Source organism: Homo sapiens, chromosome 13 (genome assembly GCF_000001405.40).
Source record: "Homo sapiens chromosome 13, GRCh38.p14 Primary Assembly".
Classification (NCBI taxonomy): Eukaryota; Metazoa; Chordata; class Mammalia; order Primates; family Hominidae; genus Homo; species Homo sapiens.
The window spans coordinates 52,500,381-52,517,620 of NC_000013.11; the positions used below are offsets into that span (position 1 = coordinate 52,500,381).

Consider the following 17,240-nt stretch of genomic DNA (forward strand, 5'->3'; position numbering starts at 1 on the left):
GGCCACCGAAAGGGCTTCAGTGGTCCCATCTCAACACCTGAAACATTGTTAATTATTACAGTGAAGGCCACAAATGGGCTTTTATTAGTGAGATTGGTGACTTACAAAGCAGCATGATGGTTGTTACAATTATATGACATTTTAAGATCTGTGAATCAGCTAAAGTGTTTTGGAGACAGCCCACCCTTGCATAAACAGGATAAAGGTTTATGAATATGGCCTGTAGTGTATACTTAGAGATGACACCCCAGGCTTGATCCTCATATGGTCCTATCTCCAGGAAGGTTTAGGAAGATTTTGGCCTCTGGAATATTAGGATTCTGTTGAGAATGAACCTTTCATGCTTGGAGCACCTAAAGTACAGAAAGCTTACAGAAGCTTATGTACCGTGCCTGCTTGCTACTGAATGTTTTGTTAAATGAATATCTGTATGTGTGGCAGATTTGATTGGAGAGCTGCTTTTCATTATAACCTGGTAGCCTGATTATAAAGGTGTAGCTAACCTTCACCTAACTCAAACTTCTGTGGTTTCTCCTGTCTACCAAAAAGCATTTAAGAATTCTGCGTGATCACGTTATTTTAGGATAGTTTGCCATTCTCACCTTCCTTAGAAGGCAATTTAGCTAGCTACTTATGCATGTCCCATGAGGGAAGTCAGTCTGTGCTCCCAAGCAGCTTATCAAAGTATGATTTCAGACTTCATGCAATACTCTCCCTGAAAGGAGTTCAGGTAACATGTATGGATGTCTTGTGTCCTTTTTGGAGATTAGTTTCCCAAGGAACTCGCTTAGCAGTCCTGGCTTGTCACCTGGATCTGAAGAGTAATTTGAGTGTCTTCCCATTCTCTTCCTCGGTAGAAGATATCTGAAAAATCCAGTAATCATTCAATAAGGCTGCTTATGTCAGAAACTCAAATTCTTATGTTTTTGGCGTTTTGAACATTTTCCCCTGTTATGACTTATTAGTGTATTCTGCATAGACAACCCAGTTGTCCTTCCTGCAGAAAAGCAGCAGATACCTCTAGATGCCTTTCTTTTTGTAAAAGGTATTGTTTTTCCTGAGACCTGGATGAATTTCCATGAGCCATTCAAGGGCATGAGAACACCCACTTAGAACTTGAGAGGTTCCCTTCATGGCCCTCAGACTGGGCTAACGAGATTTGATAATTTGAACTCCAGCACTCCTTTCCTCACAGGCTGAAAGAATAGCACAGTATTAATGTCTATCTGCGCTTAAAGGTTTGAGCTATCGACCACAGTCCAAAATTAGTTTGTGTAGGAGAACTTTTACTTAAAGACATAAAAAGATACCGTTTAATATATTGCTTCTAAAATGTGTTTCTCACACATTTCCACTGTGAGAACGAGGTTCTGTGGTCAAATAAGTCCAGAAACCTCAGCATGCTCTAGGGAATCCCAGTTTTTATCAGCAGCAGCCAAAAAAAAAAAAGCGTGCAATCAGTTTCTGAAACTTATTTAAACATTTGAAAAGTTAGCAAATTGTGGCAAAGAGCATTAATTCTTGAGTCTTGGGAGTGTATTACTTTGATAAGCATGTTTGTGTATTTGAAACTAAAACTATGTATCAGCTTATATTGCCACATACTGATTTTTATGACATAATATATGGTGTAGAGAACAGGTGGTCTAAAAACCAATATTTGCAAAATGCTGAATATTCAGCATGGTTTTATGAAGTTGACAGATGTGGAGTGTATTCTGCATGTGTCTTAACTTACAGATGAGGAAATGAAGTTGTAGAGAGATTAAATTAGCTAAGCCAGTGGTTTGGGTGCTAGGAAGTCTTGATTTTGTAAAATATAGCCATATAATTTAAAAAAACCGAGAATCCAGACAAAAAGAAAACAAAATCAGGGCAACAGCGATTTTCAGGGAAGAAAGGAGTTAACTATAAGGTCTGACTGCCTGCGGGGCCGGGCAGAACAGAGTCTTATTTCTCTTCTTGGAGAAAGCAAGTAGGAGAAGTATCACTGAGTTCTTTTCCCAGCAAGGAATAACCCTGGGAAAGGAATGCATTCCCAGGGAGAGGTCTATAAATGGCCGCTCTGGGAGTGTCTGTCTTACGCAGTTGAAGATAAGGGATGAAATACTCCCTGGTCTTCTGCAGTGCCCTCAGGCTTGCTAGGATTAGGAAATTCCAGCCTGGCGAATTCTAGTCGGACCCATTGTCTGCTCTGGAACCCTGTTTCCTGTTAAGATGTTTATCAGTGACAATGGGTGCCCAGTGGGACATGGAACCTCATCAGTAATTCTAATTTCGCCCTGGCCTTGTGATCTTGCTCTGCCTGTCTTCCCTTGTGATCTTTTATTGGCCTTTCAAGCATGTGATCTTGTAACTTACTCCCTGTTCCTACCCCCCTCCCCTTTTGAAATCCCTAATAAAAACTTGCTGGTTTTGCGGCTCAGGAGGCATCACTGAACCTGCCAACATGTGATGTCAGCCCTGGAGGCCCAGCTGTAAAATTTCTCTCTTTGTACTCTTTCTCTTTATTTCTCAGACTGGCTGACACTTAGGGAAAATAGACAAGAATCTATGTTGACATATTGGGGGCTGGTTCCCCCGATGACAACTAGGATGGGTGAAAACTGAGGAGGTGATTGGAGGTAATAGAGAATGAGGTACTCAGATGAAATTATAAGAAGGGGACTTAATACTAAAGTTGAACTGGAATTAACTGCCCTCGAAAAAGGTTGTTACACATTGAGGTGAAGTTGCAGTTACTTAGTCTGGATGCATCGCTATGTTCACAGCCCAAGATATTCACTGTTGGCACATAAAACCTCATTTCTAATAAGAAAAAATTTCATCCCAGTTCAATGAGTGTATGCAAGGAATCACTCATAGAGTTAGTGTAGCTCTTTGATTCAAAGCATTAGAATAATGTGTCCTGTCTGACTCTGATCATATTTGTCCCACAGTCCCCATCCTGTTGACCTGGTGGAAGTCATCATTGATAGAGACACCGATGACATGTGAGTTATAAAGGATGTACACACAAACATACACAAACAAAACAGTGACAGAGAAAGATATTCAGATTAGTGGGATTTGCTCTCAGGAGTGTCCATGGCAATACAGAGTGTCTTGGACACAGTTCATCTTCTCACTGTAGCACCTATAGTTAAACATCCACATTTTTACAATTGTTTTGGATAAAAGAGGAACAGAGTATCTGGCTGTTACTGTCTTTTCACCATTTGTTAGTAGCAGCCAAATGCCTTGAAAACTCAGATTTTCTGTGTATGAGACATACTAGAGTGGGCCGAGGGAAGAGAAAATCCTATTTGGAGCAAGGAAGAGGTAGGAGTACTTGGGTAACTGTGAAGTCCTCAGCAGAAAGGAACAGAGCTAAGAGACTTGGAGGTGTTCTCCAGCCTCCAGAACTCTGCCACCATGGAGGCTGGTGCTCCGGACCTTATATCACCACCATATCGGGTTGTGCCCCTGTGAAAAACCTCTAGTTACTTGATGCGTTTTGTGGGGCTGGGGAGACGCCCATGCTGGGTGAAAGTAATGAGGTAATGGAGGATTTTTGAAGCAGGACATTCAATGGATTAAGAGGGGTGACTACCTAAAAATTGGAGTTGAGTTTGAAATAACTGCCACCACAAAGGCTGTCACACGTTGGGATGAGGTTGTAATGAAAAGGTTCACTTAAATCTGGAAGCATTACTATTTTCTCCATCCTAAGATGGTGGTAGCCATCATATAAATCCTGATTTCTGATAAAAAATGATATTTCAGGTCCACATAGTGCTGTACACATGAATAGTCAGAAATTAACCAGTTTATGTTTAGAGTAATGAAAGCTAGTTTTTCCCGAAAAGTAAATTTCGAATTATGTCACCTGTCTGACTGTATTCTTTTATCATCCTCTAGTCCCCACACAAGTGAACTGACAGGAGGAACCAAGGAAGCATGTATCTACGAAAGGTGAGTTATAAATAGATAAATAAAGACACATGTATGCGTAAGTGTGCATAGAAGTATATACACATGCACAGGCATGTAAACAAATCTGTCCATCCATCTATACACACTTCTCTCAACACACGTACACAAACAAACCCATGCACACAATTGAATCTTAAAACAAGGAGACAGATGGACATTTGTGGAATTTTCTCTCAGGAGCCTGCATGGCCATACAGTGTTTTTTAACAGGGTTTCCAGTTCTTCTCGTTGTAGCATTTGTAGGTAACTTTGCATCCTTTTTTGATGGAGTTATATAAAGAGGAGCAAGTCATAGAAGGTTGCTTCTTCCTGTTAGTGTATTCATCACCTTTAGTTCTTAGTAAGCAGTTTTTTAAGGGACTCAGAGTTCCTGAGTTCGAGAGCCTACCAGAGTGGCCCAGGGGAGGCGAGAATCCTATTTGCGACATGGAGGAGATAGCAGCAGACAAGGAGCAGTGGAGCCCTGGGCAGAAAGGAATGGAGCTAATGGAACATGGACTTGTCCCTCACCGTCCAGACCTCTGTCAACATGTGAGGTTGGTGCCCAGACCCAACCCCAAACCCACCAGCTCATTGGATGCAGCCCTTCTTTAGGCCCACAGCTACTTGCCTGTGTCTCATGGACAGGAAAGACTAGCATGATGGGTGAAAGGAAGGACATGATGGATGGTTTTCACAGGCATATTCAGACTTCTACTGGAAATAAATCATAAAAAATGTAAGTTACAGGGAAAACCTGATGCAAGTTAATTATAGTGTAATGCTCAAGAAAATTTACAAAATTAATTAGATGTTACAGAAGCTATAAAAAGATTGTGTTTGATCAGTGACTAATTTTTAAAGAGGTTCTTTGTGCTACGTATTACCACTTCTTTTGCAAGGAAACATCAAGATTGTGAATTCTGTAATTGCTCATTAAGCAGTAGTACATCAGTTGAATATGTAGTATTGATTTCTTAAGCCAGTAAATAAAAATTTTCTCTATTCATTTTATGGTACAGTGGAGGCATGGGTGAATTAAAATGTATTTCTAATATGTAGATAGGTTTAATTTTTATATAGTCATTTAATTGTTTAATTAATTGGCCATTGAAAAATGAGTCTTTGTTAATTGTTGGAATTTACTTACTGGACTTACGTGGTAGGATTTGCATACCCTCACCCATTACATATGTGTATAGTTGATATTTTATTTTTATGGAAAAACTACTTTTGGTGCAAAAATTGTTTTTGCTACTAGTGTCAAAAAAAGAGAAAATCATGTGGTGTTTATATGGCTCTGTACCTTTTTACTCCATGAGCACTGCCTTCAGTGAAATGACAATAACTCATGCAGCATCCTTCAACAAAAAGTGAGGTCTAAATAAATTAAAAGCTAGATGTAAACATATATATGTAAATATACACATAGACACACACACACAAAAGCATACATGTACAGAAGAGAGATTCAGATTTGGCAAGTTCATTGTCTGGAGCATCCATAAGAATACAGAGTGTCTTAGACACTGTTTTCTAAAGTCTAATTACTGTAGTACCTGCAGTTACCTTTCTATCCTTTTTGGATCTAGTTGGATAAAAAAGGAACAGGTCATAAGAGCAATGCTTCTTATTCCTATTGCATTGGTCACTCTTATTTAGCAGTAGCCAAAAACCTTAGGAAAATATGAGTGAGCCAAGAGAGGAGACAGTCCTATTTTTAGCATGGAGGAGGTAGCAGTGGGCAGGGAGCTGAGGAGCTCTTAACAGAAAAGAACAAAGCTAGTAGAACCCTGATCTCTTCCTCTATTACCACATGAGGTTACTGTCCCAAAGGCAAACCCACCATCAGATTGGATGGAGCCCCTGCCTTAGGTCTGCAGTTACTTAACCGTATCTGAGGGGCAGAAAAGACATCCATGATTGGTGAAGAGTTATTGGTATTTGAACTTGAGAAGGCAGAAACTTACAAGTGCAAGCAAGGTGGGTGTTTACAAACTGAAGTTGAACTTATGTAAATTTTGCCAGAAATGGTAACTTGGGGATTAGGGTTAGGAGTAAAGAAATGTATATAAACTTCACTCATTAAGTTTTTTTCCACAGGCCTAAGAATTTCATTGCAAACATCTGAAACCTCGTTTCTAGAGAAAAGTTAAATACCAGGTTTCAAATAAATAACTGATTAAGATGTCAATTTTTAGGGTAACTAAATTATAAATTGTAGAGTAATTATTACTCATTTGTGTCAGAAAAATAGTCTAGGAAGACATGTGGAGTCTTCCTATATTCATTTTTAATCATTTAGCTATTACCCCATTGAACTAAAAAGAGTAGTCTGTGGTAGAGTCATCAATATATGGGGAGAAAGAAAAGAGGGAGATAATGAGATTGGTAAGATTCACTCACAAATGAAGTAATAAAGAATTGTACTTAAATTTTGATTCACTAGGCTGTTTGTTAAGGCCCAAAAGCTTTTTTACATTATGTAAGGCTTTCTTTTAGGGAAAAAAAATGATATATTAATACTAGATTCCAAGTAATTAATTGACATATACGTTTTCAGAGTTCAACCAGTTTATAAATGCAGTAGAACAATTGTACATAACTTCAACCAGAAAAGCAAGTCTCTGAAGTCGCTTGATCTGGCATGTACCTTTTTAATCCTTAGCACTGGCCCAGATAAAATGACATCAGTAGTCTTTCACTACTTTGATATATCTGCTGTAACTCACCTTTCAATGGTGGTGTCATTGAAGACAACTGATGTTATTAATCTGGGTCATTGCTAAAGAATATATCTATACACACACACACACATACACACACACGTGAATATATGTATGTGTGTATATATATATATAGGTATATCCTTTATATATATATTTAGTATATATAGATACCTACATACATGTATGTGTGTATATGTATGAACATATCTATATACATATATCTATATGTGCATATATAGATATATACATATCTTTATGTACATATATGTATCTATATAGATATATTCTATAGCACTGACCCCAATTAATAACATCAGTAGTCTTTTATGTATAATACTTTAGCATATAGACATGCATGTATATATATAGATACGTATATGTAGATATATTGTTTAGCATATATGTATACATATACAGTATATATGTACACGTGTGTGTGTATACATGTATACCTTATGTTATTGTGCTTTACTTTATTGCCCCTCAGATATTACTTTTTTATAAACTGAAGGTTTGTAGCAACCTTGCATTGAGCAAGTCTCTTGGTTTCATTTTTCCAACAACACATGCTCACTTTGTGTCTCTGTGTCACATTTTGGTAACTCTTGCAATATCTTAAACTCTTTTTTTGAGACAGACTCTCGCTCTGACACCCAGGCTGGAATGCAGTGGCACGATCTCAGCTCACTGCAACCTCAGCCTCCCGGGTTCAAGCGATTCTCTGCCACAGCCTCCTGAGTAGCTGGGATTACAGGCACCTGCCACCACGCCCGGCTAATTTTTATATTCTTAGTAGAGACGGGGTTTCACCATGTTCGTCAGGCTGGTCTGAAACTCCTGACCTCGTGATCCGCCTGACTTGGCCTCCCACAGTGGTGGGATTACAGGCGTGAGCCACCGCACCCAGCCTATTTTAAACTTTTTTGTTGTTATCCTATCTCTTATGATCTGTGATCAGTGATCGTTGACGTTACTATTGTAATTGTTTGGGGGCAACATGAACATGAACCATGTCCTATAGGACAACTACCTTAATCAATGCCATGTGTTTTTTGACTGCTCCACTGAGTAGCCATTCCCCATCTCTCTCCCTCTTCTTGGGCCTCCCTACTTCCTAAGACACAACAATATTGAAAGTAGGCCATTTAATAAGTCTATGAGGGTTTCTAAGTGTCCTAGTGAAAGGAAGAGTCAGAAGCCTCTCACTTTAAACTAAAAGCTAAAAATGATTGTGAGGAAGGCTAGACTTCTTGCACCAGTCAGACAAGTTGCGAATGCAAAATACGTGTATATATTCTCAAAGAAAATTAAGACTGCTACTCCAGTGAACATACAAATGATGAGGAAGCAAAACAGGCTGATTGCTAATATGGAGAAGGTTTTAGCGGTCTGGATAGAAGATCAAAGCAGCCATAGCCTTTCCTTAAGCCAAAGCCTAATCCAGGACAAGGCCCCCTCTCTCTGCAATTCAGTGATGGCTGAGAGAGGTAAGTAAGTTGCAGAAGAAAAGCTTGAAGCTAACAGGTTGGTTCATGAAGTTTAAGGAAAGAAGCCATCTCCATAACATAAAAGTGCAAGGTGAAACGCAAGTGCTGTTATCCAGCAGCAGCAAGTTATCCAGAAGATGTAGCTGAGACAATTGATGAAGGTGGCCAAGTTATCCAGAAGATGTAGCTGAGACAATTGATAAAGGTGGCCACACGAAACAACAGATTTTCACTGTAGACAAGATAGCCTTTTATTGGAAGAAGATGCCATCCAGGACTTTTATATTTGGAGAGAAGTCAATGCATGGTTTCAAAGCTTCAAAGCACAGGCCAATTCTCTTTTAGGGGCTAATGAAGCTGGTGACTTTAAGTTGAGGCCAATGATCATTGACTGTTCTGAAAATCCTAGGGCCCTTACGAGTTATGCTAAATCAAGCAAGATGGGTGACTAGAGATGCCTTGTGCTCATCTCCCCTGCAAGAAAACCCAGGAACAAATACACATCTAAGGTCTGATTAGAGTATCAAAGGGATAGTCCTGGAGTGCAGCAGAGGAGTGGAGGAGACACACCTGTGGTGACTGGAAGACCCCACAGCATGGAAGCACTCAGCCTCTGCAGCCCCTTCTCCCCCACCTGGGTTGAACTGGCCCAGAGACAGGAAGGACTTCTCACTGCAGGGTGAAGGTAAGCAGAAGATCCCCACCAGCCCCACTGCCATCACAAACACAGCGTCTTAAGGAAAATCTCACAGTATTTGCAAGCCCTGAGGCCAGTATGGAGTACTGCCAGGAATTTACACAGCTGCATGTCCTGGACTAGGAGTACAAGGTGAAGGCTTCCCACCCCCAGAGACCTAAGTTGCAGCAACACAGCACCATCTTGAGACCAGAGTCATCTCTTGAGTGTGCCCTCCTCTGGGGGCCAGTAGCCACTGTGCGTCTCCAGCACTGGAGCTTTACCTTCAGTATACCAAGCCCACATGGGTGGGTTAAAGCCACAACCCCAGCTGTGTGGAGGTTGGTCCCAGAATTGGCGGTAACTCAAGTCCTGAAGAGCAGGGAGAAATCAACCCCCACCACTACACTTCCAGACAGAGAAATAATCTGCACTCCCATCCAGGGTGAACTCACCCTTGAGCTAGCCAAACCACTACATGCCTTCTCTCAAGTGGGAGCGTCCCCTAAGCCTCTGAGCAGCTGATATACCCCAAGGTCAAGAGAGTGACTATGAGTGCATGCTCAGGACCTGAGAAACAGCCCTGCAGGCCTCATCCACCACAGACATGCTCCTGACCTGCCCAGCCGCCCTCCGCCTTTAATAAAGGCCTGAGAAACAGTCCCACAGGCTGCCGCGAGCAGGCACAGCACTGAGTGGGCCTTGAACCTGTGTCTCAGACCTGAGAAACAAGCAGCTGTGTGTGCCTGAGTCTCAGGGCTGAGAAACAACCCTGGGAGCTTACTCTGGCCAGCATACCCTCAGGCCAAATAAGCAGCCACATACCTATGTCCCAGCTTGAGGAACAGCCCTGTAGGCCACCCCCCGCAGAAACACTCCCAGGCCAACTAAGCAGCTGTGCAACCTTTCATGAGCCCGAGAAACATTCCTGTACCCATTCCCAGCGGATGCACCTCCAGACCAGCCAATCAGCCATGAATGCCCATGTCCTGGACCTGAGAAAGAGCCCCATGGGCTACTCCCAGAAGACATGCCCCTAGGCCAGCCAAGCAGCCTTGTGCCCACATCCTGGGTCATAGAAGCAGCCCCCTGGGCTTCCCCTGGCAGGCACCACCCAGGCCAGCTGAGCAGCAGTGTGCCCACATCCTGAGCTAGAATAGCCCTGTGGACTACCCCCAGCAGACCCACATCCAGGACAGCTGAGAAATTATTTGTATCCCAGGCCTGAGAAACACCCCCTCTTGGCCAGCCCTGGCAAAGATGCCTTCGGTCCAGCTTAGTAGCCGTGCAGCTCTATATTTGGCCCATGAGTTTCCCCCAGCAGACTGGCCTCGGGCCAGATGAACAGCTGTGTATCCACATACCAGGCATGGGAAACAGCCCTTCAGGCCACTCCTGGAGTGTGTGCTTCCAGGCCAGGCAAACAGCTGTGTGCCTGCATCCTGGGCTTGAGCAACTGCATCCCCATGCTCCTGGCCAGAGTAACAGCACCATGGCCAGCCCCACAAAGCCATACTCCAAGTTTTCTGACCCACTGTATACCTGCACACACCCCTACCCTGAGAAACAGTCCAGAGAGCCCACCCCTGGCAAAGGTGCACCACCATTACCACAAACTTCCTTAGCCTAGGCCACTGAGAAACTTGCAAATGTTACTAGTGTGGATCACAGCGGAATGAACTATATGGAGACTACACTTTACTGCATCCATGTAGAACCAAGGCCAATATACCCCAATGAACTGACACCCAAGACCCATTCATACAAGTAAATTCATACAAGTAACCTACTCCATAAAATTGGAAAAGGTGACTTTTTCACCAGATGCATAGAAATCAGCATAGAAACACATCAACCATGAAAATGCAAGAAAACAGGTCACCTACAAAGGGAAATAATAATTATGTAGTAATGGACCCCAATCATAAACATATGAAATGCCAGAAAAAGAATTCAAAAGAATAATCCTAAGGAAACTCAGTGAGATATAGGTAATACAGATAGACAAGTCAATGAAATCAGGAAAACATGATTTGAATGAGAAATTCAGTAAAGATAGAGATATCATAAAAAGAACCAAACAAGCCCTAAGAGCTAAACAGTTCAATAAAAGAAATAAAAAATGAAATCAATGACTTTACAGACAAGAACAAGCAGAAGAAGTAATTTCTGAACTTGAAGAGAAGTCTTTTGAAATAACACAGGCAGAGAAAAAAGAATAAAAAATAATGAAAAAAGCCTACAGGATTTATTGGACACTGTTAATTTGAACAAATATTCCTATTATGGGCATTCCAGAAGGAAAAGTGAAGAGAAATGTGAGGAAAACATATTTAATAAAGTGATAGCATAAAACTTCCCAACTCAAGAGAGAGAGATAGACATCTAGTTCTAGGAAGATCAAAGAACCCCAAATACATTCAACCCAGACACAAAGACAAAGATTTTTTAAGATAGCAAGAGAAAAGCATGAAAACGCTTATAATGGAATTCCCGTTAGACGAACAGCTGATTTCCCGGCAGAAACCTTAGGCTGGAAAAGAATGGGATGATATATGCAAAGTTCTGAAAGAAAAAAAAAATCTTTCAACCAAGAATATTATACCCAGTGCAGCTATCTTTTACAAATGAAGGAGACATAAAATCTGTGACAGATAAACAAACACCAAGATAATTCATCACCACTAGACCAGCCTTACAAGAAATGCCCAAGGCAGTCTTACTTCTGGAAGTAAAAAGATGATAACCACCATCATAAAAACATGTAAAACTTTAAACGTCACTGGTAGAGTCAATACATAGAAAGAGAAAGGGATGAAACCTTATCACTACAGAAAACTACCCAACTACAAAAGTAAACAGAGAGGCAGAAAGGAACAAAACATATACAAACCAACCAGAAAACAATAAAATGTCGCAAATAACTCCTCACCTACCAATAACAACTTTGAATGTTAATAGATTAAATACCCCAAGAAGGATATAGACTTGCTGAGTGGATTAAAAAATAAGACCCAACTGGGTGCAGTGGCTCACGCCTGTAATCCCAGCACTTTGGGAGGCCAAGGCAGGCAGATCCGGAGGTCAGGAGTTCGAGACCAGCCGGGCCAATATGGTGAAACCCCATCTCTACTAAAAATACAAAAAATCAGCCGGGTGTGGTGGTGGGCACCTGTAGTCCCAACTACTCGGGAGGGTGAGGTAAGAGAATGGCATGAACCCGGGAGGCAGAGCTTGCAGTGAGCTGAGATCGTGCCACTGCACTCCAGCCTGGGTAACAGAGCGAGACTCTGTCTCAAAAAATAATAATAATAAAAATAAGACCCAACTATATTTTATCTAAAAGAAACTCACCTTACCTCTAAAGAAACACATAGACTGATAATGAAGGGATGGAAAAAGATATTCCATGCAAATGGAAACCAAAAGTGAGCAGGAATAGCTATACTTATATCAGTCAAAACAGACTTTAAGTTAAAAACCATAAAAAGTGACACACAAGATTATTATGTAATAATAAAGGGTTCAGTTCAGCAAGAAATAGAACATAATTGTAATATGTGTATAATATAATTGTAAATATGTATGCACTCAACACCAGAGCACCCAGATATATATAGCAAATATTAGTAGATCTAAAGAGGGAGCTAGACCCCATTACAATAAGAGTTGGGCACTTCATTATCCCACTCTCAGCACTGGACAAATCATCTAGATGGAAAATCAACAGAGAAACATCAGACTTAAACTGCACCATAGACCAAATGGACATAACAAACATTTACAGAACGTTTCACCTAACAGCTGTAGAATATACATTCTTTTCATCAGCACATGGAACATTATCCAAGATAGACCATATGTTAGGCCACAAAACAAGTCTCAACACATTTTTAAAAACTGAAATTATATCAGGTATCTTATCTTACCACAATGGAATAAAACTAGACATCCATAACAAGAGGAACATTCAAAACTATACAGATATATGGAAATAAAACAACATGCTCTTGAGTGACAAGGAGTGAAGAAAGAAATTAAGTATGAAATTTAAAAATTCCTTGAAACAACTGTAACTAGAAACACAACCTACCAAAACATAAGGGACACAGCAAAAGCAGTATTAGGAAGCATGTTCATAGCAATAAATGGCTGGATCAAAAAACTAGAAAAATTTCCAATAAACCACCTAACAATTCTACCTCAAGAAACTAGTATGGTAAGAACAAACTAAATCCCAAATTATTAAAAGGAACTGAATAATAAAGACCAGACAGAAATAAACAAAATTCAGGCAAAATTTACAAAAGGTTAACAACAAAAAGCAGGTTTAAAAATATCAACAAACCATTAGCTAGACTAATTAAGAAAAAGAGAAGACCCATATAAATAAAATCAGAAAGAAAAAATGGGACCTCACAACAGATATGACAGAAATAAAAAGGATTATTAGAGACTATTATGAACAACTCTACAATAAATTTGAAAACCTAGAGGAAGTGGATAAAATCCTCGACCCATACAACTGCCAAGACTAAACCAAGAAGAAATAGAAAACCTGAACAGACCAAAAAGAAGTAATGAGATTGAATCAGGAACAAAAAGGCCTTCAACAAAGTCCAGGATCTGATGACTTCACCACTTAACTCCACCTGCTTTTAAAAATGAACTAATATCAATTCTTACACTATTTCAAAAAATTAAAGCAGAGGAAAGTCTTCCTAACTCATTCTATATAAGTAAACTATGGTTGATAAAGTAGTGGTAGGATTTGAGAGGATTCACTCCAATTTTGAAAACAGTTCTACTGTGGGTAAAATGCTATCAAATGGCATCACATGTTACAGAGAAATCACTTGTGAAAGGAAGAGTCATTTGATATAGTGAAGTTCGTTGTTGTCTTATTTTAAGAAATTGCCTCAGCCACCCCAACCGTTGGCAACCACAGCTCTGATGAGTCAGCAGCCATCAACATGGAGGCAACGCCCTCCACCAGCAAAAAGTTTATGACTTGCTAAAGGCTCAGGTGATCATTAGCATTTTTTTAACCAATAAAGTAGTTTTACTTTAAGGTATGTACATAATTTTTTTTTGACATAATGTCGTTGCACACTTAACAGACTACAGTGTAGTATAAACATAACGTTTATATGCACAGGGAAACCAAAACATTTGTGTGAGTCACTTAATGCAGTTTTTGCTTTATTGCAGTGGTCTGGAATGAAACCCACAATGTCTTTGTGATATGTCTATACACATTTATGTATTCTATAACTATATACATATTCTTTTAATTACCTTTATATACATATATAGAAAGAGACAGAGAGAGAAAAGAAGAGAAAAATATGCAAAATTCAGCGTTGGGAGTATCTGTGAGAATAGTTTCTGGTTAATGACTGTAATTTTCTTTCTTAAATGTCAGGTCTTCCAGTGAGCTAAGTCATGTTTACTATATCCTTTAGATTCATGGAATTCTTGTTATTCAAATAAATTCTTCATCACTGTTTTGTGTAGCAAATATCTAATGATATATTTTTGCATTTTTTTGGTGGCTAAAGTGTGTCAGAACGACTTTCCAGGTTTGAAGATTATGAAAATGCTGAATATGTCGCTTCATATGAGTAAGTCAGTTTGAAGTTTGAAAGGAGGGAGCCATTGATGGATCTCTTTTCTTTAGTTGAACAGGGCTTACGCTGAGGCACAAAGGAAAAAGGGAAACTACGGAAGGATATCAAAATGTATGGGTGTGTGGGTGGGAGAGTACACCATATTTCCTCCAATTGAATTCTTAGACAAGTATTATTTTGAAAAAAAATTCCATCCATTCAGGAATAAATGTTCTTCTAGCTTGAAAATGTAAAAAGTATCCTTAGAAGAAATTAACTTCATTAGAAGTTTTTTTTTTTTAAAAGAAAACAGGAATGCAGAATGTTACTTACTCATCAATAGTGAACCTTTCTCATTTTTACTGGATATTGTGCGATTCCCAGTTTTGTAGATTTCACCTATGAGCAAGTGGTATTGATAGCAAAAGCAAACATGTTTTGCTGACTAAAGACCTCTTTATGCTCACTGGGATTTTGTTATTATTTGTTTCTAATCTCACTAGAGTACTGAGTACTCCTATTGCACTGACCTGAAGGCATTTTACCATGTACTCACTGTAACGAAACAACACATTCTTAAACTGGCTTGTGTCTGAACTGCAGACATATTCAGGAGATTTTTCTTCTGCTTCTTTCTTGCCCAGTTGTATAACCATTCACCAGCTTATGTCAATGTTGGAGAGGAAGTGCTGCCATAGAGGAAGTTAACTCATCATGGTTATAAGCTGTTGGTGTCTAAACAAAGATTACATGGGAAACAGAGGGCAAATACAAATAGTTCTTCAAATTACCCTGAGTTTTCATTTTCTAGAAATTTTTATCATGGGCCATCAGTGAAGAATTCACGGCACCACTTAATTAAACTGTGTGTCTGCATACTAGCTATACATTTTCTGTAATGGAGCTGCCCAGGGTTGAGGCAAAATTAGACAGATTGAGCAAGGCAAGCATTTCCTTTTTCTTTCCCCTCTCCAAACAAAAGAAAGCAGGTTTTTGTTTTGTTTTATTTTTAAGTTACAAAGTCTCATTGCATAAATATAGGAGGAATTGGTAGTGGTCCCTGTGAGAAACACTGGTGTTTCATACCAGGGGGATGATCTTGGATTTATAGTAAAAGCTGGAATCAGTGCTTGGCTTTGACATCATGTATTCATTCATCTGATACTCAGGAAGTCATTGAACCTCTTTTAGTTTTAGATTATTCAAATGTAAACTGGTTATAATGCTATCTATGTAGTGGATATTGTATTGTAAAAAATTAGTAATAAAACTAAAATAACATGCAAAAACACTTTGAAAACTCTGTAGCTCTGTGAATAGGTTTTGTGCGAAAAACTGAAAATAACGTGAGAGTTTATTAAAGGAAAATCAGAAAATCCAATCAACAAATCTGCCCACATGTAGTCATTCTTAAACTTTGATACATGCACTTCTGAGTTCTTTAAGCATATGCATTTTTTGTTTACAGATACGAGACCATACTTATATTATTTTGTAAATAACCTTATTACTTAATGACATCATGTCTATATTTTCTTGTTAATGTATATTCATGTGCACTTACAACATTATTTGTAATAGTTTTGTAATACTGCATGGTGTAGATGTGCTATAATTCATTTAATAGTCAGATATTGCTGAACAATTAAGTTTTTTACAAGTTTTTACTGTTACAAAAAATATTTGAGGCTAAATCTTTGCATATCGTTGGTTATTTGCTTATTATAAATTCTCAGAAGTGGAAATCCTGTGTCAAAGGGAATGATTATGATGCTATTGGTATTGATAAGTGCTTGAACATCAAGATGCTAAAGTGTACATTTCTCCCCTCCCATACTTAACGCTAGCTGTCATTGATTTCTTTGATATTAGTAAATCTATTTGTTCTAATGCACATTCTTTGACATACCTTCATTTATGCTTTTTTCAGTTAATATTTCATCATTTCCAAACTACCTTTGGCCAGTTAAAATTGGGGTGTTTTTCTGTCTTTGGACTGAAAAGTTAAATCTGTTGATCCTTTTTCTATTTTATGTAATATAAGTAGTTTCTCCCAGGGTGTCTTGCTTTTCACTATATAAAAATGTTGAATCTTCATATAATCAAATGTACCTATACTTTTCTTTGTGATTTATGCCTTTAATGTTATTCTCAGAAAGTCCTTCTCTACCCCAAGATTTTAAATATATTCATCAAGATTTCTGTTTTGAGCTTATTTTCTTCATTTAAATAAAATCGCTGCCCTGAATTTACTTTGTCTTAAGGCATAAAGTGTAGAAATTTACTTTTCTCCTGTGTGACTAATAGTTTTCACAGCATCAAAATATCATCCCCCTGTATTGTCCTTACCCTGTTTTAGTGATCTAGAGTGAGATCAGGAAGACCAGAGAGTCAGTACAGTGTTTTCATTGCTTTGCATCATGGCCATCTCCGTACCGCCAGAGTCTGTACCAGAGAAAAATGTGTCCAGTGGGAGAGATAGCACCTGCCCTCGATACGAATCCCATTTCATTAAAAATGGTCTTGTTAGTGTCATGTAGCTTCCACCTTCTATTGATAAAAAATAAAGTCATGGTCATAGTTAATATTTGTGCTTTGAATTCCACTTTGATATTAATATTGGAACTTATAGTATTTTAAGGTTTAGTATCTCATGTCTTTTTCTCTTTTCTTTTTCTCTTTTTTTTTTTCTGAGACGGAGTCTCACTCTGTGGCCAGGCTGGAGTGCACTGGCATGATCTTGGCTCACTGCAACCTCCACCTCCCAGGTTCAAGCCATTCTTCT

General features: G+C 39.2%; 1 long non-coding RNA gene and 1 pseudogene across 2 annotated transcripts in view; one reads left to right on the top strand and one right to left on the bottom strand.

Moving 5' to 3' along the window:
• LINC00345 (long intergenic non-protein coding RNA 345) overlaps positions 1-17,240 on the bottom strand; it is a 118,126-nt gene that overhangs the window by 17,899 nt on the left and 82,987 nt on the right. The gene's annotated exons all lie outside the window — the stretch shown is intronic.
• Positions 1-17,240, top strand: part of TPTE2P3 (TPTE2 pseudogene 3) — a 98,103-nt pseudogene that overhangs the window by 11,388 nt on the left and 69,475 nt on the right. The window contains exons 7-9 of the transcript NR_002793.2: positions 2,940-2,993; positions 3,901-3,954; positions 14,408-14,470. The product of NR_002793.2 is annotated as a TPTE2 pseudogene 3 (transcript). The remainder of the gene's footprint in view (positions 1-2,939; positions 2,994-3,900; positions 3,955-14,407; positions 14,471-17,240) is intronic.